This window comes from Homo sapiens, chromosome 14 (assembly GCF_000001405.40).
Source record: "Homo sapiens chromosome 14, GRCh38.p14 Primary Assembly".
Taxonomy (NCBI): Eukaryota; Metazoa; Chordata; class Mammalia; order Primates; family Hominidae; genus Homo; species Homo sapiens.
The window spans coordinates 30,696,868-30,723,076 of NC_000014.9; the positions used below are offsets into that span (position 1 = coordinate 30,696,868).

Below are 26,209 nucleotides of genomic sequence, written 5' to 3' on the forward strand. Positions count from 1 at the left end.
GGGGACTGGCTAAATAAATATATTGGATAATATAAAGAAAGCCCAATTTCCCATTGTCAGAGGAGGAATTTATAAATATAGAAAGGGAAAAAATTAGAATGAACCCTGTAGTGTTGGATTGGAATTAGAGGTGTTGGTGTGAACTTAGTGTTTTCGCTATATATCTGTTCAGATACAGAAATAAATATAGATTGTATGTTGGGGGGGGCGGTGTATACTCATGTATTCCGTAACTCTGCCAACTGAAAGGGCCTGGGAGCAGCAATGCCCAACTAGTAAAGATGCTGCCTTATAAATACAGTTTCCACTAGGACTCCTTGGAGAGGTAGCTGATTCCAGAGGTGGGGCAGGGAGCAAAAGTACAAAATGAGTCTGGAACATTTTTGTTGTGTCAGAAGGCAAGGAAGCTACTCCAAAAATGATGGAACTTGTCAAAAGAACCCAGAAGTCAGCTTGAATAGGCTCCAGATGATGACAATTTGAGCATCAAAATAAATAATAACAGATTATAACCCACTGATAAAAGAGGATGCCAAGAGTCCATGTGGACATAATAAATGAATAAATTGAAATTTCATAGGATATTTATGCAGTTTCAGAATACCTCCCCACAAAATACTTATTAACTGTAAGAAAAAGTAACGGTGCGGTGGAGAAGCCTGATAAATACCTTATTAGGTAACCACAGTGAACGTCGTCAGTAGAGAGACATAAAATAGTGGGAAAGTACTAAGCAGATTGTGGAGAGGAAGGAGCTCAGGAAAGGCTGAGAGGTAAAGGGCTAGTAGGATTCAGTGCAAAGAACACAGCATCACTGTTGTGATATTCTTGCCTCGGTATAACCTAAATCTAATCATGAGGAAATATTAGACAAAACTTAATTGTGTGATATTCTAGGAAGAAACCAGCCTATAGTCTTAAAAAGTAACCAAGGCCATGCAAGTCAAGGAAAAATGGAGGAACTGTTTCATACAGAAGAAGACTAAAGAGGCATGACAACTGTATGTGGCACATGATTCTGAAATTGATCCTTTTTCCATTAAATATACTGTAGACATAATTGGTAAAACTTCAACTAGGATCTGAGAATTAAATGATAGTGAATGTGTCATGTAGTATATCACATCGCTGTAATGGTGCCAGTGTTAATATCACATTTTGCTAATTGTTTTACTGAGGCTGTGTTAGAGAATGTCTTTGACATTTGGGGGTAATGGGACAGCAGGTCAGCATCTTACTCTCAAAATTTCAGGGAGAACAAAAGCTCTCCAAACTGTACTTAAAATTTTTCTCTAAAATACATCAGATTACTCAGTAAGGGAATTCTAACTTTAAAGCAGCAGTCAAAGGAGAGAGGTGCGTGTGACAAGAGGTTCCAAGCTGTAGCTACAGGCTTTAGAATAATCATAGTTGTAAAGGACACATGCTGACAATTTCAGTTTGGTTTCCCTGTGGTTATGTCATTATAACCATCAGTATGCTCCCCAGCCCTTAGCATCAGATTGGTCTTTAAAACCTTAGCAGATGTTCTAAGGCAGTTATTAACACTGTAGCAGTTTTAAAGTATGTTTCCTCTTGAAGAAGAGTGGGAGCTGTTCTTTCTTTAAGCAAAGTAAGTATCTACTATTAGAAAAGGCTGTGCTAGATGCTGAAGATGCTGGAAGCAAACTCGGGGACCCACAGGCCCTAAAACTCGGAGGGAGGGGAACCTTCCTCTTGTATATTAGGATCTGTGGTCCCAAGCGGGTAGGACAAGCCTCATTACTCTTTTGCCCTTTGTCCTCTAGCTGGTTGATCATAGTTGCGGCAGTTACGGCAGGAAGTGCTCAGTGAAGCAGGGTGACCAAAGCCAAAGCTTTCTAGCTGGGGCACCAAAAAGGGAAGGCCAAGGAAATGGGAAAGTACCAGGGAGATTGTGGAGAGGAAGGAGCTCAGGAAAGTAACCTCATAAAGTTGTTCATGAATTCCTGGGTTCACCCCTGAACTGCACATCTATGAAGCTGATCCTAAACAGCATTTCAAAGACTGAGAGGGGAAGAGCTAGAAGACGACCTCCCAGTCCCCAGACTGACCACTGGTTCATGGGACAGATCTCAATAGCACTTCAAGAGGTTTTGAAAATAGAATCGATGATGGAAGAATAACCTACGGAAGGCTGGTAGGAACATTAGCCTGTACTGAATCAGGCTAATTACCTGTTAAAACAAAAATATCAGTATTGTCCTAGGATTTAACAGGACCTGGAGTCTCATAACCTAATATTCCAAATGCCCCAAATACAATATTTATTTGTAAACATGAGAACTTTAGAGAACTTACCATTATCTTTATTTTACCATTCTTTGTCATCTTCAGGGAGTACGGATAATTAGAGAATGAGCGTTAGTGTTCCAAATCATATAAAAAATAAGTGTCTTATCAGTCATTATGTTTTGAAGAAAATCAGCTAGTTTTTATTCTATCATAAAATACAACAATTCTGAGTTCTTGCATCTTAGGATGCACTTTAAAGTGAGACTGAATATTGTTATTTGTCGAGAACAATGCTTTATCACCTTTCCACCAAAGTGCACATACATGATAGAAGAACAGACAATAAATGAGTTTCTCTGGACAGTCTTGGGCTTTGGGTACTAAGAGTAGTAACTCAGAGCACTGCAAGCAAGACATTACTTTGAAGTCTTATGTTTTGTCTTAAAATTTGAGGCAAATATATTCTATGTGATATAACAATTTTTTTAATAAAAATATATTGTTTTCCCATTCTTATAGTAATATAAAAGCCTTCAGAAACATGTGTATTTAGGGGCCCCCCAATTTGAGAAGTATGGCTTTAGGCTCAGCTAGATGATTTTGTTTAGCCAGCAAAGTCTCATAACCCAATTCCTAGGGTGACCATACATCTGGTTTCCCAGGATAGTCCCACTTTCATACCAGTTGTCCTTATGTAATTGTTACTGGCACCCCTTTTGCCACCTCAAAAGTATCCTGTTTCAGAATTGTATGGTTACCCTGCTTATATCCTTTCCTTTCATTGTGAGTTTATATCTAAAAGGGAAATCTCAACATTATACACAATTTGGAAGATACAATAGAGATGCTCTCATAATCACAGCCCTCTAATCCCACCTCATTTAATCTTTTCCATATTTGTATTTTACATGGTTATAATTATATGCCTGTTACCTTAGTTAAATCAAGAGCCATGTTTTGTTTTGTCACATTTATATATGCCTTGAAATGTAACATACTTGTGTTGACTATAATACATAATAACCACAATTATGAAAATATTTTTTAACCTCTTTTCCCCTATGCAGCAGGAACTCCAGAAGATAAAATGAGGTTGTTTCTTATCTATTATATAAGCACACAGCAAGCACCTTCTGAGGTATGTCCTTTATTCAGTTATTGGGAGGAAGGGGAATGCTTGTTTGTAGACTACTACAATTCAGATTTTAAAACAGAAGTAAAAATCACTGTGGCTAAATATCTGCTTCATTTCTTTCTTTAAAAGAAAAATGGCCAGGCGTGGTGACTCACACCTGTAATCCCAACACTTTGGGAGGCCGAGGCAGGCAGATCACTTTGAGCGCAGGAGTTTGAGACCAGTCTGGGCAACATGACAAAACCCCGTCTCTACTAAAAATACAAAAATTAGCCAAGTGTGGTGGCGTGCGCCTGTAATCCCAGCTGCTGGGGAGGCTGAGGCAGGAGAATCGCTTGAACCTGGGAGGCAGAGGTTGCAGTGAGCCAAGATCATGCCACTGCACTCTAGCCTGGGTGACAGAGCAATACTCCATCTCAAATAAAATAAAAGAAAAAAAAGAAAAACAATTTGTTAAGGCTGCTTCTATGTACTGCTGTGTTTTATAGCAACTTTTATTGTTACCAGGGGAAACTACCCGTGAAACATCTGACTACTTTTAAGTTGTTGGAATGTAAACTGAATTTCAGTGGCCAACATTCTTATTTTTGGAAAATAACTATTCTAAACTAAGTTAATCAGATTTGCTATGCTTTTTGAAAGGTTGACCTTATTTTAAGATTGTTTTAAAACTAATGTCCAATGTAGAAAATACGTTGTCTATTCTGTAAAAGAAAGTGGTGATTTTGGTATCAGACTTCTTCTGGGTTAGAGACTGTTGACTTTAATGTTAACTGTATACTTTTACTGGATGAGCAAGAAGCATAAGAACCTCAAGATGACATTTAGAATGTGGCTGTTCTAAGCTCCATTCCTTTGCTGGTAGCAATTTTTTGTTGTTGCTGTTGTTAGTATCTGGTAAATTGATAGGGTTTCTGTTGGTCAAAAATCTTTGGCATATTAAGACAGCAAAACTAAACCTGATATTTGCTCTCAGCCATTCTGCTTTACCCTGGGAACACAAAGCTTTACTTCTAATTTTTTAAGAAAGTGTGGTTTTCTTTTTGTAAGTATCTCTTTCAGGCCAAGGTGGGAAGATCACCTGAGGTCAGGAGTTTGAGACCAGCCTGGCCAACATGGTGAAACCCCATCTCTACTAAAAATACAAAAATTAGCTGGGCGTGGTGGTGCACATCTGTAATCTCAGCTACTCGGGAGGCTGAGGCAGGAGAATGCCTTGAACCTGGGAGGCAGAGGTTGCAGTGAGCCAAGATTGCTCCACTGCACTCCAGCCTGGACAAGAGTGGAACTCCATCTCAAAAAAAAAAAGTATCTCTCTCATCAACAGGGGTTTACCTATATATCTCAGGGTATTCTAATAGCCTAATTAAAATATTTTTCTTAAGAATATGTGATTTTAAAACTTAATTCAGTGTTCCCTTAATTTAACCACATTATTTTTATTTACTTTTGGTAAGGATTATGTCTTTTCATAAATTTAAGTGATCGTTAAGATAGGCTCCTTTAAGTTACACAAATTCAGCCAGACTTATCAGAAAATGAGTAAGGAAGAGTGAAAAAAAAAAAATTTAAAAGTGCGGGACACCTGTTGTCCAGTTAATGAATCTGGACCCCTAGAATGAAAATGAGATGAGAAACCGAAATCTGCAGCTCCCCTCAGTTGGTGTCATTCCTCTTGTGTTTCTGGTTTAGAAATATTCTTGGTCAAACCAAATCATTCATTTAGTGTGTGTCCTGAAGAAAAGCAGTCTATCCCAGCAGTAAAGGAAAAAATAGCTTTGTTGGACTTGCTGAGAAATTTAAAAATACTGTACTTTTATAGGTGATTTGGGAGCCTCTTAAAGGTAATTTTCATTATATGTGATTTTCTTGTCTTGGGTGCTCACTTGGGTACTCACTTAAGACGTGACTCCACTCTACTTGGGTGCCAAGAATTTAAACTCATGCCTTTGGTCTTACTTTTTAATTAATCAAATGGCAACAAATAACATCTTTCTTGAAAGTAAAATTTTTTGTCATATAGTTCTTTTCTTATTTCAGGCTGATTTGGAGCAATATAAAAAAGCTTTAACTGATGCAGGATGCAACCTTAATCCTTTACAATATATCAAACAGTGGAAGTAAGTTTTATTTTCTTCTTTAATTCCTGTCATTTAAAAGAGTACAATTGAGGCTTCATTCCCAAGAAAATGGGAATGCTAATAAGAAAACTGAACAATGCCTTGGTGGTTTTATATATCCAGTGGCATAAATATTTCCTTATCTGGCCCACCCTGTTTACAACTTAAAATTACATAAAACAGTGATGCCTTTCTTTCCTGGGCAAGCTTTATAGTTTCTTTACTGATAAGGTGAGAAAGTCAAAGACCGAAATGTCTGGAGTCAAATGTCTCCAAGGCATTAAGAGGAAATTTTAATTTGACTAGTAATCAAAGAAATGCAAATTAACATAATGCAAATGTTTAGAAAATACCATGCCAAGGATACAGGAAAATTCACTTGTGCATTTTATACTCTGCTATTAGGAATATAAATTGTCAAAATTTTTCTGGATGGTATAAAGAGTTCTTTAAAAATAGCTCTGACCTAGTACTTCTCTTAAGGATTTATCCCAAAGAAGTAATTGGAGCTAAGACTTTAGACACAATTGTAATAATGAAATTTTTAAAAGCAACCTAAATGTCTAGCAGTAGTGTTAGTAAGTATATTGTGGTATTTCTGCAAGATAAATACAGTCAAGTCATTAAAAATCAGAAGGCTTACTTAATGACATTGAGAAATGCTCACGTTATATTGCAAAGTAAAAAAAAAAAAAATTATAACACTCTTCATTGATTTGTTTAATAAATATTTCCTAATAGCGAGCATGATAAACAAGGCCCCAACTGTCAGTGAATTCACATTTGTGTTGAGGAAACAATTAACAAATAAGCAAATAAATGAACAGAATAATGTTAAACCATGTTAAATGACATAAGAAATAAAACTAAGTGGTAAGATTTTAACCTGCTGGGGGTGATAGCTAAATTTGCTTAGGAGATCAGGGAAAGCATCTAGTAGGCAGTCACATTTGAGCCAAAACTTAAATGACATTTTTTACAGTTATGATCCCTGTTTATCCATTTTTTCATCCATATGTATGTGTTCATATAAGCATACACATAAAAACATGTAATTACAGAGTTGAAATGGCATACAACTAAATGTTAATAGTAGATAATTCCAAATAGTAGAATTTTTTTTCCTTTTGGGTGCTTTTCTTTATTTTTCAAATTTTCTACAAAAACTATTACCTTCAAAATAGTTTTTAAAATAATTAATTTTTTAAGACTAAAGGATTAAATAGGCTTTCTGATCACAATTACATTAAAAAAAAGCATAACAAGAGAATTACACCAAGTTGTTAACAGTAGTTATCTCTTGAGTGCTGAGATTATGAGTGCTTTTTATTATCTATACTTTTGACTTTTGAAACTTACTTTTGTCTGTGTTCTTGTAATAAGAAAAAAAAATACACAACAAACCTTTGTTTAAAAGGAAAACTGAAAACTGTCTTTCCCAATTTTTATAATACAGGTTGAATCCCCCTTATCCAAAATGCTTGGAACCAGAAGTGTTTTGGATTTTTGATTTTTTCAGATTTGGGAATATTTGCATATATATATATATATATATATATATATATATATATATATATATATATATATAAATAATGAGATATCTTGGGGATGGGACCCAAGTCTAAACAAAAAATCAATTATTGTCTCATATGCATAGCCTAAAGGTAATTTTATCAATATTCTTAAGTTGTGCATTTGGACTGCAACCTGACAAGAGGTCAGTGTGGAATTTTCTCATTGTGGCATCATGTCTGCACTACAAGTAAACATTAGTGTATATTCTTTCATTGTTTATACATATGACAGATTTTTTTTCTAGAGACAAGGTCTTGCTCTGCCACTCAGGCTGGAGTGCAGTGATACAATCATAGCTCACTGTAACCTCACAGTCCTGGGCTCATGATCCTTCCATTTCAGCCTCCTTAGTAGCTAGGACTACAGGTGTGCACCACTGCACCCAGCCAGATATTTTTTAAAACTGGGAAATCATTTTTAGAGATACAGTTTTGTATTCTAGTTCTTAATAACTTTCATCATGCCAGTTCATGGAAGTATTTACTGTTTGCCTAATATTAAATCATATAAATATACTGTTATTTATTTAACCCTTCTTTGTTGTTTAGATATTGTTTCTAGTGAAAAACTATTTTTTGTTGTTGTTGTTAATGCAGAAATTCTAATCCACTGCTGATTCACATCATCCTTTCTGAACAAGACTGAAATTTTTGTTTGGGATTTCTCTAAGGGTATTGTTGGCACATTTTGTCAAGATTGAAATTGAATATTTTTAGCATTTCTACTACCACATCTTAGTGATTTACATTTTTTTCCCTTATAAAATTTTCTTTAGGTACTCTTTTTTTCCCAGTTACAAAGCATTTAAAATAAGAATCATTATGAAAGAATACTGACTGGCATAAAATGTCTATGGTGTGCCACTAAAATGTGTTATAAAACAGTGTATACAATATGATGCTAATTTTGGTTTTTAAATCATATATGTTAAATAGGCATATGTCCTAAGATTAGAAGACTATACACCAACATCTTAACAGGGGTTACCTCAAAGTGGTAGGATTCTTCTGGGAGCATTTTATATTTTCTGGATTCTCTACAGTGAAAATACTCTCAGAATAAAAATATTTTTTAAGGCACATCTAAATGCCATCTTTCTGCCCATCCTTCATCAATCGTATTGTTTAGTTACAGAGATTCTGGACATTTAGAAAGAGTTGAAAATAAACAACTGTATGCAATTAAGTGTAAAATCTGTGGTATATAATATAACTAAAGGGAAAAATCATTGAGTGGTAGAGTTAGAAGTGTTAACAAAGAAAGTGGTTTTGAACTTAGTCTTAAAAGGAAATGTACAGTTTCTATTGAAGAAGGTAGTGAATTTATACTCCCTAAAGGACAGCATGAGCAAAGGCATGTACCTGGAAACAAGGGAGCATAGAATGTAGGAAACAATAAAAAGACTAAATTATTACATGGTTGTTCTTTTAAGCCATCAAGTCTCTACATCAGTTCTTTTTATTTAAATGATCAGATAGAAATGAAGAAAAATAGGAAGTTTGGAAAACTAATGCATTTGTGCTTCTTTAAGAATTTCAGGCTGGGCGCAGTGGCTCACACCTGTAATCCCAGCACTTTGGGAGGCCAAGTTGGGAGGATCACTTGAGCCTGGGAGGTCAAGGCTGCAGTGAGCCATGATGGCACCACTGCATTCCAGCCTGGGTGACAGAGTGAGATCTTGTCTCAAAAAATAATAATAATAATTCAGTGTTTTAGTACTAATTGTAGTGTACTTGTATTCGTTGAAAAATTCTCTTTTCAGAAAATGTCTGCATCATAGAAGTTAGAGTTAGTCAGTAGATATTTTAATACCGTGACACCCAGAGTTAGTTCTAATAATTAGCTTTTAAGTACAACTTCCTTCTTTCATAGGGCTTTTACCAAGATGGCCTCAGCTCCGGCCAGCTATGGCAGCACTACCACTAAACCAATGGGGTAAGTATTTTTAATAATTCTTTTGCATCTTTGTACTCAAAACCTTACTTAGACTTTCATGCCTTAAAAACACAATGTCTGATACTTTGAATGCGGAAAATGTCACCATGCCTTTGGTGACATTTAGATGGCTGAAGTTCTCCTGGTTTTTTTTTTCTATTTTTTAACTTATTTTTCATTGACATTTAATAATTGTACATATTTATGGGGTACAGTGTGCTAATACATACCATGTGTAATTATCCAATCAGAGTAATTAGCATATCACCTCAAACATTTATCATTTTTTAGTGTTGGGCACATTCAGATTCTCACTTTAAAATGTAAGTTAATGTCTTTTACATGGTATGAGCTGAAACTTAGATAACATTTTTTATAGTATCATCCCTATTTATCCATTTATCCATCTGTGTGTATCTGTGTGGATGAGTAAACACATACATACATTTAATTGCATAGCTGAAATGATATACACCTAAATGTTAATAGTGGGTAATTCCAAGGGGTATAGTTTTTTTCTTTGGGGTACTTTTCTTTATTTTCCAAATTTTCTACAACAAATATTGTCTTCTCGATGGTTTTTATTCATATGCTTGTTTGTTATTATAACATAGTTTTCATTTTCAGAAAACATTTGAAGGTTAAAACTGTTTTAGTACCAATGTTGATAACTAATATAGACTTGAAGCTAGGCCTGGCTTCAGGATAGATTCAAGCAGTGCTAAATGATAGGAAGTCCTCAGGGCTAGGTATGACATCTTACTCCAGAGACCCCAGTGGAGTATGTGTGATTTTCAGAGAAACTGAACAAGGTAATTCTGACTACTCTTTTTGGTACCATACAGTTTCCAATTCCTAGCTTACTTTTTAGAGCTAAAACAAAAGCAGGAAGCCAGAGGAGAACAGGTTTATCCTAGCCCCACACTGAGTAACTGGTTTTAATGAAATAATTTCCAAAAACAAAAGCACTCAGCCTTATAAGTACTTGGCAAAAGGAATCCAGCTGGCCTCACCTTCAGACAGTGCTGCGCAGGTTAGCACACCCCCACAGAGTTGCCTGGTGACAGGAATCGCTCCAGGGCCATTCATTCCAACAAGGATTACTTTCTCTTGCTTCTGTTAATGAAAAGATTTCCATCCTGTCCATCTCTTCATTTCAGAGGGGAGTAAGGCAAGATGAGGAAAAGGAAAATATTTTTGGAAAATTACTTCCATGTGTTTAATAAAATAGACTTTTCAGTTTCATCCCTTAAAAATCTTATTGAACATTAGCCTATTAGAGTTCTTATGATTTTACAATTGGGATTTTGATAAATATGTTATAAGAAGCTCTTGGGTGATCTGAAAGCTGTCCCTAGCCTTCTGAGATTTTAATGCAGGATTACTAATCTGTCCCACAAAACATCTTTTAATTCCATGTGAGAGACTGTTTGAACCACAGATATAAACCCAGTATGGCAAGTCACTTATTGGTGTTTTGTTGTTGTTGTTTAAAATGTAGACAACATTCTCAGAGTTGAGGCAAAATTCGCTAAGTCTGTTCTGTTTCACATTTTTTTATGATAGATTTTATGTATAGAGAGGAGAGAAAATATACAATGTAGAATTGGATCCAGCTGCTGATAAAAGAGAACACAGTAATGTTTGACTTACTCGTAATACTTGCATATATATTTTCAATATGTTCATATGGTTTGAACTCCTAAAGCAAATTGTCCAAGTTACTAGCTTTAAATTGGTTTTTTTTAGCATTAGACAATCAGGAAGGCAAGGAATTCTCTTCAAATTATAACTCGCAAAAAAAAAATATAGCTAAGACTAGGAAATTAAGATGTTTATTTTGAGGGCAGCTCTTTATTTTTGTATTTTTTAATAATTATTGACTAATCAGAGTATTTTAATTACTATTTTATTGTTAAATAAAATTGCAGCTGTGATACCCATGGCAGCAGAAATTCTCAAGACCCTTCTGTTTAGTGAAAACAAAGGTGGTAGGTACAGCGAGCATCAGCATGTGGTGTGTAATCAGGTAAATATTTTATCGATAACAGATTGGAGAGGCACTTTGTACTTAGAATGGTCCTTCTCTTTTGCCCCTACCTAGTCTTTTATCACGAGTCATGAATACAGGATCACAGTTTGTGATGGAAGGAGTGAAGAACCTGGTTTTGAAACAGCAAGTAAGTACACTTGTTAGAAAACATACTGGTAACTTTTAAACATAAATGTTGACAGGCTAACTGCTCAGGTAAAGCAACTCCTGGATTTATTCAAGTAATAAATAGGAATCATAAAATCAAGGAGTTCCTTTTTTTTTAAGTTCTGGGGTACATGTGCAGGGTGTGCTGGTTTGTTACATAGGTAAATGTGTGCCTTGGTGGTTTGCTGCACAGATCAGCCCATCACCTAGGTATTAAGCCCAGCATCCATTAGCTCACTTCCCTATTGCTCTCCCGGCCTCCTACAGGCCCCGATGTGTGTTGTTCCTCTCCCTGTGTCCATGTGTTCTCATTGTTGAGCTCCCATGTGGTATTTGGTTTTCTGTTCCTGAGTTAGAAATCAAGGAGTTCTTTATTAGTGTATTTAAGACTCTGAGGGTATTTTTTACATGTGTAGCTCAGAGCTCTGTAATTTTATACTTTTTTAAAAAAAAATTGTTCATTTGGATTTGGACTTTACTTACATTTTGATTTGTATTTACCATCAGGTTGTTGAAAGTACGTTAATTGAAAGAATGAACCTAACCTATTTAGAATAGTGAACTGTTACATAATGAATATCATTTCTTTTAACATATAATCAGAGAATATTAATAAGCTAATGAACTTCATATCTAAAGTCCTATGTAAATTGGACTAAACAAAATATTTTAAATAGAATTTATATTTGGGGATAATAAAATTGTACCTCGATTTCGCATTTTCTTTCTTTTAGTCCTTCATTTTGTATATAGGACACTTTTAAATGACTTTTTTGTTTCTGTGATTTTTCTATTCTAATATATAGATATTCTGCTTCAGTCATTATTAATTTGGTATCTTTTCAAAAGATTTGTTTTTTACTTTTAATTTTGGAAATTTTCAAATATGCATTATCAAACTCTCCTGAATCCTTCAATTAAGTCAGTATCCATTCTTGTTTCATCTATCCCATTTGTGTTTTTTATTTACTTTTACTGGAATATTTTAAGGCAAAACTGAGATAATATTTTACACAGAAACTCAGTTTGCAGTGAGAAGGGTTTTAAAGGCCAAATCAAAAGAATCAGTTATTCAGACCTGAATATTGTTTATTTACCTGTATTCAGAAAAAAACAAGATCTTTTCTTTCCTCCACACTTTTCTTTCTTATAATGTTTGCTTGTGGTATTTTATATACTTAATCTTTATTTGTGGTTTAATAAGTTATTTTTTTCTTTTTCTTTTTTTCTGAGACAAGGTCAGGCTCTCTTGCCCAGGCTGGAGTGCAGTGATGCTAGCTGGGACTACAGGCACGCACCGCCACACCTGGCTAATCTTTGTATATTTTGTAGAGATGGGGTTTCACTATGTCGCCCAGGCAGGTCTTGAACTCCTGGGCTCAAGTGATCTTCCCACCTCAGCCTCTCAAGTGCTGGGATTACAGGTATGAGCCACTGTGCCTGGCCTCATTATCCCTTTTAGAAATTATTGTCAATCTCTCTCATTCTACCTCCTGGTAAGGAGCTACTACCAAATACTAAAGCTACTTTTTCTTACTCGTTCGTAGTACTGTCGAGAATCAGCTTATCTTCACCCTCTTAGACTATATGTGAAAAGGCACAATAGGAAGTTTGGGCACATTAGAGACAAATGTGCTATACTTTACGGCTTAGCCTGCGCCCGGTTCTTATTTATCGTCAACTGTGGACAAAATGATTTTGTTTCATGAGACAAAGGGGGACCACCAACTTCTACGGTAATGTCTGCCTTTTGCTAGATAGACTGGCTATTACATAACCATATGTAGTTTATTTTTAAGGAGAATTACATATTTTTCTTCACATGTCACTGTTAGAAGTAAATCCCAATAGTAAGATTTCCCTAAACAAAGTATTTCTTGTAACATATAACTCATAATATTTAGAAATTACAGACTTTAACCTTTAGAATAATCATGGTTTGTTTTGTTTTTGAACTTACTACCTCAGAGTCACATGGTATATATCCCCTATGATACCTGTAAAAGACATCTAAATTGGTCAATTCTTAAATATTTTATTGTGCTAACACAAAAGTTTTATTTTATTTGGAGTGCATAAGATACAGAAACAATTCTTTATGATCTTACATCTCTGTTTTTTTAATATTGCAAATAACATACCACTTTGACATAGGCAGTTTCTCACTTACAAAAGTAAAATTTGAAATGATCAGTGGTCACCCCATCTGTATATTTTTGCCACCACTACCAGAAGAGCCATGTCATTAAAAAAAAAAAAAAAAAAAAAAAGTTCAGAATTAGAGAAATAGGTATTGACAGGGGGTAGGAATGGTTCATTTTATATTATCATCAAGTAAAAGTAATAGTCATACAGTATAGTTCAATGTAGTCTTTTTTTTGTTGCTCTTTAAAAAGAGAAAAAATAGATGGTACTGAAGGACAAATACTCAGGCTTACCTAAGCTTTAAATGTTAGTTTTTTCTGGGTACATCTTCATCTCTGGTTACTACTGTCCACGACAAATTGCTAGGATTGAAATCTAGAATCAAGAGTGTAGACATTTCTAATTGTTCTTAATAAATATTACCAAATTATCCTCGAGTAAAGAGTCTCTAGAAATATGTAAACTCAGAGAAATCCATGTTAAAGCTCTATTACCCTTATATTCTAAAATTTAGAGGTACTATGGTGGGAGGTCTTGGGCAGTTTGGGAACTGAGAGGTAAGAGGTATCAAAGAAGACACTGCTGAAGATCAGTTCTGTTTCACTCTTGGAATATTATGAGTAATTTATGCCTGTTAAATCTCTAAATATTGTTTTGGATCTTTTTATCTGAATAAACAGTTTAAACTATAAATAAATTAGAATAGGATTAACTACATCCAGTTTTCTAGGTCACTTATAAGAGCTTTTTATACCTTGTTTTATGGGCAGCATAAGTTTTGTGCATCACAAGTATCAACTATCACATAAAACCAGTTGAATGTTATTCACAGATTTGGAATCTATTTGTGTGAGGATAATTGTACAAGAATGTGAAGATGAATAATGTAGCATACAGTTGCATAATTTTAGATTTCTGTTTTACTCTCTTTGGCCTGTTTGCAAAAATAATCCCTCCTTTAAAAATGAATTAACAACACATAAATTACAAGCAGTGAAAATCCATAGATTAAAAAAAGACTTAAAATACACAGTTGCAATGTCTGGCCCTTAAGATTATGATATGAACAAGAAAACTATAAAACATGATTTTATATGTCGGGTGCAGTGGCTCACGCCTGTAACCCCAGTACTTTGGGAGGCCAAGGCAGGCAGATTGCTTGAGCCCAGGCATTCAAGACCAGCCTGGGCAACATGGCAAAAGTCCATCTATCTCTACAAAAAATACAAAAAAATTAGCTGGGCATGGTGGCACATGCTTGGGAGGCTGAGGTGGGAGGATCACGTGAGCCTGGGAGATGGATGATAATTTATACAACAGTGACTGGATATCAAGTTGTGTAGTAATTGTTTCATAACAAATACATACATCAAAACATCATGTTGTACACCCAAAATATATACAACTTATTTGTCAGTCATACCTCAGTGAATCTGCAGAAGAGAATAAATCACTGTTAATTATGTAATATTATAACTTATAAATTATTTAATAATTATTAAATTATTATTTTAGGAGTGGTAATAGTGTTTTGGGGTTTTTAAGAGTTTTTATATTTTGGATATGTGTACTGAAATATTTATGGCTAAAATGATTGATTGTATATTGGAGACTTTCTTTAAAACAACGTAGGGGAATGGGTAGTAGGTGATAGTACAGGTGAAATAAGATTTGCCACGAGTTAATACTTGTGGAAGCTGGGTGAGAGAGGGATAGATGTGTCTTGGTGAGTTCACATAATCTCATTTTCTTTATTGCCATGAACACGAGATGATTTTTAAACTCATCTGTAAGATAAGGGTATTAGATACACTCTGTAGATCACAGTCTGGTTTATAATTTTAAATTTTGGAAAGAGACAGCCCATCTTATTCCCTCTCCTCGTAGCTTCACTTCACTGGCAACTTTCCACCCTTCTATCATTGATACATCTCTCATCTCCAGTGTTTCCAGTGTCCACACACGCCATCTAATTCTTTACTTGGCTGATAACTGCCTTCAAGATAAGCGTCCTCTTACAGGAGGTCCACATAGGGCTTTTTCATTCTCCAGGGCTCTGATAATCAAGACAGTAGCAATTCTTGTCCCAATCCCACTGCCAGCTTCGACATCAGAGTATCATCTGAAGCCCAGGGCTGCAAGGGAAAAGTTACAAATAGTCACCATAGATCAGTTGTCAATATAGGCAACAAGTGGCTAATTCTAAGAGAACTCAAAGGAAAAAAAACACTTCCCTATTTTGGTTATAGAACTATATTATATTTCTTAGTTGTCTTTTTTTTAAGTTTTTGTGCATATTTTATTTTGTTTTGTAATACACCATCAGAAATAAAGTTACCATTGTTTTTACCTAAGCTTTTCCGGTGACTAAAATCATAAAACACGACTAAAGTCATAAAATGAGTTAGGATTTTTGGAAATAGATTTCTCACTATATTTTTTTCAGATAAAGTTCCTAGTTCATGTATTTGAAATTTGAAGAACTTTAATTTAGGATATTCCTGTGTATAGGACTCTGTCTCTCAAATCTATATCTATAATGGCTTTCTAATAAAAATTTAGTTGCTAACTATACAATAATGTTTTCCATTTTATTTCTAAACAACAATTTCTAAGAACAAAAAATATGCTTGAGAATTCTTACAACAATGGAGTTTTTCATTTGATAAAATTTTATTTATACCCCTTTTACTGAAGCACACAGACTTTTTATGTTTCTAAAGACACATAAGTAACACTATTTGTTGAGCAAAGAATATTGTATGGTTTTGTTCTGATGTTTTCCATGTGCTAATATGTTAGCTGCTAAAATCCGGTTTTTTTAACCAGTAAAACTTGATTAACCTGGTATGTAAATTATTCTAAATATATAATTGATTTTTTTTAATGATTAAGTCAATTCAGGCCTTTATCTAGGCAAAGAATGAAGGCTAGCTAGAGCATTAGCTGGTGACAGATCTCAAAAGTTGTTTCCTGAAGTACTCTTTCCTACGTTTTAAAGACATTATGTATTTTTTAAAATCATTCTCTGTACTTGAAGCTTCCATTAATGTATGGGAGTATGTGAATATTGTATTGTATGGGAGTGGTAGATGTGTAGATGGTTTTGGTGTGTTATTTGGTTGTAAAAACCAGACAAAAACATACGAAAGAGTTGTCTCTGAAAAACCAGACAAAAACATACGAAAGAGTTGTCTCTGGGCTCTTTAATTTTTGAACAATTTTGCTGGAAAGAAATTTTTCTCATGTTACTTAATGACCTATTTGGCAGACTTGTCTTCAGATATAGCAGAACTATAAAACACAAAGTAAAATTTAATTGTATCCTTAGGAAAATCTCATTTTAGACTAAATAAAGATTTATCATGGAATATTGGTATGAATATTCAGACTTCCAATTATTTTCACAAATATAATAAAAATAATATGACCCTTATGGTTTATCATTATATATAACCTTTTCTAAATTTTCCTCCATTGTATAGATCTAAGAGTACAATGCAGGAAGATAAACACAGAATTCAGTGTAAATAGAGAAATTGATATAAAGCTCTCAATTTTCGTAAAATTTTACAAAACAATTTACAATGTTCTTTTGTTCCAGAATTTTTTAATTATTTATTCTTGTTATGTTGCAAAGTACTTCATTATCTTTTGTTGGTATTACTTGGAATTCCTAACTATAGTTTTCTCTTTTGGATAAAGCATTTTAAAATCTTTATTTAAAGCACATTTAAATCTGCACCCAGTTACTCTTTAGAGAAACTGGTTTAGACTCACTCTTAAGTGAACAGACTCAATTTTATTTGAAACAAAACTTAAAAGGTAAAATTTTGGCCGGGCGCGGTGGCTCACGCCTGTAATCCCAGCACTTTGGGAGGCCGAGGCAGGTGGATCATGAGGTCAGGAGATCGAGACCATCCTGGCTAACAAGGTGAAACCCCGTCTCTACTAAAAATACAAAAAAAAAAAAATTAGCCGGGCGCAGTGGCGGGCGCCTGTAGTCCCAGCTACTCGGGAGGCTGAGGCAGGAGAACGGCGTGAACCCGGGAAGCGGAGCTTGCAGTGAGCCGAGATTGCGCCACTGCAGTCCGCAGTCCGGCCTGGGCGACAGAGCGAGACTCCGTCTCAAAAAAAAAAAAAAAAGGTAAAATTTTGAGCCACCTTTAAAAAAAAAAATTCTGAATAGTATTCAGAAGTATATTCAGACAGCTTGAACATTTGATGCTTGTATTTATATTTGAAAGTACCTAGCCAACACAAATGAAATAGCTTTAATTTTAATTTTACTTGCCTGAGACAATCTTAAAAGGTTTTCACTTTACCAGTCTAGGGAAGGCAGCAGTATCCTTAGTGACAGTCCATTTTAATAACAATAAAATGTTTTATGATCTAAGAAAATGGAAAATCCTTATATAATAGTAATGTGTTATCAAAATGGAAAATCCTTATATAATAGTAATGTGTTATTTATAGATTTTTATCTGATCTATAAACAATCAGATTGAATGTTTTTGTTGTATGAAGTCTCTGAAATACATAAAGTACAATAGATACAAGACTGTTCTCTTCAGAACATCCTGTACAATTCACAAAGGAAATACCAGTTGAAAATGAACAGAATAACACTTCATTAGGAATGCACTTTGAATAGCCATAATTTTCTAAATTTTCTAAATTTGACTTATGTTCAAAATAATAAAACTTGTCAGACTGAAATGTAACAGTACTTCTTATGCCACAGCCTATAAACAAGTCAGGAGACAACCTTTTGCCAGCACCTGTGTTGTACATTTCGTGTTCAAAGTGGAATCTGTTCTGTAAGATGATGCAGTGCAACATTGAAAACTTGGAACTTATCCCAGGCAAAATAAAAATGGTCAATAAAGTTGTTTGTGTATCCATATACCCATTTTCCTAAGTACAAAAAATACCTTTTTATTAGAAATGAACGAACTCTTACATCATTTAATCTCATACGTTTTCACGAACTTTAAAAGTTACTTTATTTTTAAAGAGAACTTTTATAATCCACAGAGAGGAAATGAAAAAAATACAGTGGGATTCTGGCCAGGCATGGTGGCTCACGCCTGTAATCCCAGCAGTTTGGGAAGCTGATCACCTAAGGTCAGGAGTTTGAGACCAGCCTGGCCAACATGGCGAAACCCTGTCTCTACTAAAAATATAAAAATTAGCCGGGCGTGGTGGCAAGAGCCTGTATTCCCAGCTACTTGGGAGGCTGAGGCAGGAGGATCACTTGAACCCAGGAGGCAGAGGCTGCAGTGAGCTGAGATTGCGCCACTGCACTCCAGCCTGGGCGACAGCGAGTCTCCATGTCAAAAAAAAAAAAAAAACGGGATTCTTGTTTGATCAAAACAAAAGCTTGCAGTTACTAGTATTAAAAGCAAACACCCAACAAAGTAAAAAGCCCAAACATGTATTTGTACTAAAACCTGAATACACCTATACATTTAAAGAAGCATTTTACTTAGAATTATATTTTCCTGTGGAAACTTGAGTAGTGCCAAGAGTATTTACATCTTTGACATCACCTTTACCATTCACAGACTACTTAATCTTAGAATGTGTTTAATTGAAAGGTAAGCATACTTAACTGTAGAATGATCAGGTTGTTTTAATAGAGAAGAACTTTGGTTTAATATTCTAATATTTAACAAAATACTTTTCCACAGAATCTACCTGTTACTCGTATTTTGGACAATCTTATGGAGATGAAGTCAAACCCCGTGAGTACCATATAACATATTTTGTGTAAATTCCCGAATGTGTCAAACTGACTAGTATGAAAGAGGATAAAATCAGATTGAGTTCCTTGTGAGCTTAATCACAGCAGAATACATGAGGAAAAGGAAGAGTCCATGTTCTCAAGAAGCCTTTTTTAGCCATTATCACGGATTCTGGGAATTGGTTTTCTCAGCTGCCATACCCATTCTGGCCAGCTCTCATTCAAATGTCATGTAGATTATATCCTATATGTATAATTAAATGTAAAATATATCCTAAGGAACAAATTTCTATAAATGAAAAAAGAACCAGTGAGCATCTGTTGATATAGTATAAAGAGTACCAAACCAATTTAATTTTATAAAAGTTAAATTAGGAAAGAAGTGCATAGTAAAAATGTTAAGTACATATGTTTACAGGGCACTAAATTCTTTTGGGCTGAAGAAGTAAATTGACAATGAAATCATTGGGTGAATAGACAAATGGGTCAATACCGTTAGCATTGACTTAAAGAATGGGTTTCTAAGCTATCTGTTTGTAATTCAAGAAAGGAATGTAAAAATCATCACAATCTGTTTCATAAAACATCCCATCCTGTCACTGTCGCAACCAAAAGGTGGTTATTACCACAAGAATCTGGAATCAAAAACAGGCAGCATGAGCCTACCGACATCAAAACCCTGGTTTGAGTTTATCTAAAACCCTATAGATTTGGCAGTGAGGCTTAGGATTCCAATTCTAAGAAAGAGTGAGAACAGTGTCTTCAGATGAGTGTCACCTTTTTTGTAATTGTCAGAACATGACTGTAATAACAAGAAACTAACAAATTTTAAAATTCACTGGTGTGAAAACAAAGATACAGTGTAATAAAACATCTCAAAAGGGCAGTTAATATTAGGAATGGGAGAATCATTTATAATGATAAACTAAAAAGGATTGGATTCTTCCATCTGGGAATCAATACAGATAAAGTGGTATACAATGAAGTAATAATAGACTTTGTCACTACATCCTAGAATACATGAAGAAAAGGTTCTTCCTGAAAAGCCTAAGAGAGGTATACATTCATGACTAATTGACTTACAGAATACTGCTTCCTAATAGGCAATAAACTTCCAGAAGATACTATGCCAAGCAACTATAAAGATTAAAAATATAAGTAAATGCAAAACTTTAGACAGGTGCCAAATACACAGGGGGTTAAGAAATTTTGATATTTTCCAGGCATGTTTGCTTATGCCTGTAATCCCAGCACTTTAGGTGGCCAAGGCTGACAGATCACTTGAGTTCAGGAGTTTGAGACCAGCCTAGGCCATGTGGTGAAACCCTGTCTCTACAAAAAATACAAAAAATTAGCCTGGTGTGGTGATACACACCTGTAGTCCCAGCTATTCAGGAGGCTGAGGTGGGAGGATCACTTGAGCTCAGGAGGTTGAGGCTACATTGAGCCAAGATTGTGCCACTGCACTCCATCCTGGGTGACAGAGTGAGACCCTGTCTCAAAAAAAGAAAGAAAAAATTCTGTGATATTTGTTACTGTCCCTAATCTTGAAGTTGAGATGAAAAATAATGACAGTAATAATGATAATAGCTAACATTTATTGAGTACTTATCATGTTCCAGAAATCATTCAAAGCATTTTGCGGTGGTTCAAGCCTGTAATCCTAGCACTTTGGGAGGCCGAAGCAGGTGGATCACTTGAGGTCAGGAGTTCAAAACCAGCCTGGCCAACATGGTGAAACCCCGTCTCTACAAAAAATTAGTGGGGCATGGTGGCACGCACCTGTAATCCAAGCTACTCTGGAGGCTGAGGCAGGAGAATTGCTTGAACCTGGGAGGTAGAGTTTGCAGTAAGCCGAGATCATGCCACTGCACTCCAGCCTGGGTGACAGAGCAAGACTCTGCCTCAAAAAAAAGAAAAAAAAAAAAAAAGCATTTTTCACCTATTATCTCACTTAATCCTCATTAGAACTTTCTGAGAAAAGTACTAGTATTATTATTTTCATTTTATAGGTGAGGACACTGTAGTGCAATGTAACTTACCCAAGGACACACAGCTAATAAATGTCAAACTGAAGATTTTAACTAAAGGCCAAGTTTTCTACCATTATGCTGTATTGATTAGGGCAAGAATCATTCCCTTCATGGAATCCCAGAACTAGAGAGTTAAAGAAACATAAGTCATCTTAACAGTGGAAGAGAGGCAACCAAGAAATGTTGTGACTTCCCACGTCACACTACTTTTAGTAGCAGAATTGGAACCAGAAACCTACTACTGCTATATTCCTGCTTGGTGCTCATTCCAGCATACACATTCCTTCCACATTTCTCTGTCATAAACACATGGATGGCTACCTTGTGGATCTTACTGAAATGTTTTCCAAGCTGTGAAAGTTCATTGATCAGTTCCCTTGACTTTCACTTTATAACTCAAGGCATATTATTGCAGACGGATATTTTTTTACTTAACTAGGAAAAAGTAACTTTCTGTTTTGAAAGTGTTTCTTCATCTGCTAGGTGAGGCAGCTGCCTGCATTATCATCCTTCTCCTGTTCCCAGATGGACAAATTGATTTGGAGGCAATGAAGAGATTAGCAAAATGCTAAAGAGATTAGCAAAGTATACTAAGTTAGACCTGATAAATAATCTTGATTGTATCCATTTGAAATGCTGTAATCTAATTCTAGATGCATTTTTATCAGTTCATTTATTAAATGTTTTCCTTTCATTTCTTAATTGAATAAATTAAAACTAAGGCAGGATATCAGATAGGTTATCTTGCCTTGTAAGTCTGGCTGGTAGTGGTTTCTTGGAGCAAAGTGTTGAAGGATCCTTACACTATGTTTGGGTTTACTGAGAGTGCTATGATTGATTAGCAGTGTCCACCCCATTGGGTACAGGACTAAATAGTAGCAACATGTGTAGCATATTTGTCAAGAATCAGGTTTTGATAGTCCTGTCAACACTCCAGAAGAGAATTAGTTTCTCTGGCATGGTAATTAAGAACTTGGGCATTGAAAATAGACTGCCTGGGTTCAAATCCTGTAGTTCCCATACTTACTAATCATGTGACTTTAGAAAAGTTACATAACTTTTCTCTACCCCAGACTGTCAATCTGAAAAATGAGGGTAACAGTAACAACCTGATAGACCATTATTAGGATTGAGTAATTTCATCTAAAGCACTTAGAATAAAGGTTAGCACATAGTAAGTGCTCATTAAGTATTAGGGATGGTTGTTATACATTCTACAAAATTGATAGATTCATTAAAATAGGATACTCTAAGCCAAACTGACCTTCTGAAGAGAAATTCCACAGTCATGGTAAAGTTCTATTTTTTTTAATAGGAAACTGATGACTATAGATATTTTGATCCCAAAATGCTGCGGGGCAATGACAGGTAAGCAGCTTTTGTCTTGTTTAACTTGTGGATTTTTTCCCCTCGAGAATGGAAATAATTTTTTTATTATATAGTACTGCTTATTAAAAATCCAAACTATATGGAAAACTCGTAAGGAAACAAGGATGTATAATCTCATTATCCAGAGATATCTCTAGTAATGATACTTGGCATTCAGATGTTTTTCCTTCCACATATACACACACACAAATCCATTTAGACGTTTACTGGTGTTTTTATGAAATGGTGGAGGTATTAGAAACTAATTGTGGGTGAGGGAAATTTCGATAACGTGTTTTTAAATGAATATTCTTATTGGACCAATTGAAAAAAATAGGAGCTTTATATTGGATACCAGTTGTTTGGTTGTTTTTTATTTAACTGGTCCATAAAATTAAAGTCACTGGGAACCATTGCTATGTAACACCTTGTGTCAATGAAACATTCTATAAATAAATTCTGCATTTTATCACAGACATTGGATGGTAAGATATCCTTATGGATATTATTTTTCATGATTTAATTAGCGGTGGTATGACAAATAGCCTACAAGATACAGAAAAAGAATAGGCAGAATTGGGGGCAGGGGGGTGGGGGGCGGGAATAACTGCCTTGGACTGATTTGTCTGTAGCACTGAAACTCAGATGAAGCTAGTGAAGCTAGTTTGTTGCCTGTTCCTTATGTTTGGGATCTTCAGAACTTTACATTTGCTGTATCCCAAGCTTTCGTATCTTTGTAGATGGTGTGAAAATAATCTAGTCATTAGATTAAATTGTTTGATAACTTGAAACGTTATTCCCTTTTCTGAATTTACCAGAAATATCACCAAAATTGCATAAGAACTGCCAATAGCAGCTGCTGTTGGCAAGAGAGAATTTGACAAAGAATGGATTGTGGAAAGGGGGATGAGGATTGACTGCTAATGGGTACAGGACTTCTTCTAGGGGTGATAAAAATGTTCTGAAATTAGACAGTGATGGTTGTACAACTCTGTAAATATACTAAAAACCACTGATTGTACACTTTACAACAATGGATTAGCAACTTTTTTCTATATTAATGATTCTCCAGCTTACATTTTTTCCTTCCTTGCATTTAGCTAACAAGTAGATATACAGTTAGCCCTCAATATGCGTGGGTTCCTCATCCATGGGTTCAACCAATCAGGGTTCGAAAATATTTGGGGGGAAAAACGGATGGTTGAATCTATACAGAGCATGTACACACTATTTTTTTCTTGTGTTTATTCTCTAAGCAATACCTAATACAGTGTAAACTATATAGTTCGTAATACTGTTTATATAGCATTTACATTATATTAGGTATCATAAGTAATCTAGAGATTATTTAAAGTATATAGGAAGATGTGAGTAGGTTATATGCAAACACTACACCATTTTACATAAGGTACTTGAGCATCTGTGGACTTTGGTGTCTATGGAGGTTCCTGGAACCAGTCCTTCATGGATATCAAGGGAGACTATACTTGGCTTCTTGGAAATTTACTGAGAAATATTTAATCCTTAATGTAGTTTATGCATGGTAATGAGGAAGAATATTAGCATTGATAAGACAGATAAGCTTAGAGTTTCATTTTTAACAGAGCCTTCTCCTGAGCTATCCCATCACAGTTAAATCTTGGTGACTAATAACTAGTAATACTATTCTATAAGTCTTACCTCTCCTCATCCATGTCTACTGTTTAAGGAACTGGAACACTGAAGAGGCATTTCAGTCAGGTGGACTTGTAGCTTCTTCTGTGGAATATTCAGACAGGCCATAGAAATGAGGAAAAGATGATAGAACTGTGTCATCAGCCTCTGAACAATTAAGGAAAGTTATGATAGCCCTCTTTTCTCAGTTGATATTTTCAAAAATTACTTAGGGGAAAATCTAAGTTGTCCTTTTAAGTCATACTCTACAGCCTGTTTTAGCACTCAAATATGTAAGTCTAGACTCGCAAAAGCTTTGAAAAATGTCTTTATAATACTTTGGTGTCTAAGAGATCTTTAATAAATAAGCTACAGCAAAATTCAGATCCCTCCCTCCCTCCCTTCCCCATTTGCTTCCTGAGTTGTTATTCTTCCCATACATGTATTTATATAGTTTTTCCACAAATGTAGATACCCACAAACTATATATAATATTGAGTTTGGTAAAAATTTACCACATAAAATATATGCCTTATCCATTCACCACAAACCCAGACTTACGCTCCTCCTCGTGGGAGTTGCTGCTCAGTCATCTAGAATTTTATTTTAAAGTAATAGGGTTGACCCATTTCCTTTTAGACTCTGAGATATCTCCCTTTTCTAGCTGCTTCTTAATGAAACCCAGTTCACTACCTGGCTCAGCAAAATTAAAGGACCCACCCCTCTAAGAAGGTGAAGGAGGTAGAATTGTAAATACTTACCTAATAGTGCATGTGTGTGTATTTCCCATACCTATTTTATTCATAATAAAAGCCATGGGTGAAATTTTCATTACGGTTTTTCTTTATTACAGCTCAGTTCCCAGAAATAAAAATCCATTCCAAGAGGTAAGTTTCATATAAAAATTCTCTGTTCCTAGAAAGGGAAGATGAAAGGTGACCAATCTTGAAGACTGTCTGTACCAAACATGGCTTTATGATGATTAGTGTATGATAATTTGGCCTAGCAATTATATTTTTCTAATTTATAAAGCTGCTTATATTTATAATATTTTAAGCTTAAAAATAACGGACAATTCACAGGAAATGAAGTATTTCAAATTGCAGTGAGAGTTTTACATGTGTGGAACCTTTTTCTGAAATTGGATTCCAAACATTTGTGAAGATACTATGACTGTTTTCATTTGAAATACAAAGAAGCTTCTCCGTAAAAAATACAGTAAATAACATATATTGGAAATTATAGTTATTTTCCTCTAAATTGTTTCTGAAAAATCTCTTCTTCATACTACTCAAGAGACATTAGAAATTTATAAATTGACTTTTTAGAAACATTTCTTAATAATTAAAATAGCATCAGGGGCTTAGAATATGACTTTTGGCTAGCATTTTTTAACCTTAATTTTAGAAGAGGTTTCAGACTAAAAACTGTGTTTTTTTTTTTTTAATCTGTTTGCATTTTAGGCCATTGTTTTTGTGGTGGGAGGAGGCAACTACATTGAATATCAGAATCTTGTTGACTACATAAAGGTACATTTTATTTAGCCTTTTTATTCTGTTGTTAGATGGTTTCATAGGTAGAACACTAGCATACTCTGATGGCTATCCTGATCCTTCTATAACTTCTTTTCTAAAAGGTAGTTTTAAAATCATGCATATATGATTTTTAAATGTTTATTGTTTTCCTATTCCTGTCACATTCATTTCTGGCCTAAAATTGTACTTAATCTAGAAAACAATGTATCTTATTGATATAATGCACTTTGCAGCTACCTGTCTTAATATAACCTCAAATGCTTAGAGACCTCTTCCCAAAAAAAAAAAACTCTTGTGGTGAAATGATTTACAAAACTCATTTATCTGAATAATATGCACTTTACTCCTATCCTATTAGCTTAAATCAGTGACATACTTCTAACAAACTTGGATTTTTTTGTTTTGTTTTTTCAGCAAACAGGAGCTATAGAGGTAGCAAATGAAAGGGAGTGCAGGGAGTAGCAGACAGCTAAGCAAAAAGGAAGGAAGGAAGGGGCATACTTTGAAGAGG

At 34.9% G+C, this 26,209-nt stretch overlaps 1 protein-coding gene across 10 annotated transcripts in view; it reads left to right on the forward strand.

Annotated features, from left to right (window-relative positions):
- SCFD1 (sec1 family domain containing 1) overlaps positions 1-26,209 on the forward strand; it is a 113,597-nt gene that overhangs the window by 74,614 nt on the left and 12,774 nt on the right. For 7 of the 10 annotated variants that reach the window (NM_001283031.1, NM_001283033.1, NM_001283032.1 and 4 more), the window contains 8 exons: positions 3,321-3,391; positions 5,429-5,508; positions 8,956-9,018; positions 11,123-11,198; positions 19,057-19,110; positions 22,458-22,510; positions 25,017-25,050; positions 25,627-25,692. In NM_001283031.1, the coding sequence (NP_001269960.1) occupies positions 3,321-3,391; positions 5,429-5,508; positions 8,956-9,018; positions 11,123-11,198; positions 19,057-19,110; positions 22,458-22,510; positions 25,017-25,050; positions 25,627-25,692 (497 nt within the window). Of the gene's footprint in view, positions 1-3,320; positions 3,392-5,428; positions 5,509-8,955; positions 9,019-10,949; positions 11,199-19,056; positions 19,111-22,457; positions 22,511-25,016; positions 25,051-25,626; positions 25,693-26,209 lie in introns of those variants that run through there. The other 3 variants (XM_047431165.1, XM_047431166.1, XR_007063993.1) reach the window with 2 other exon arrangements.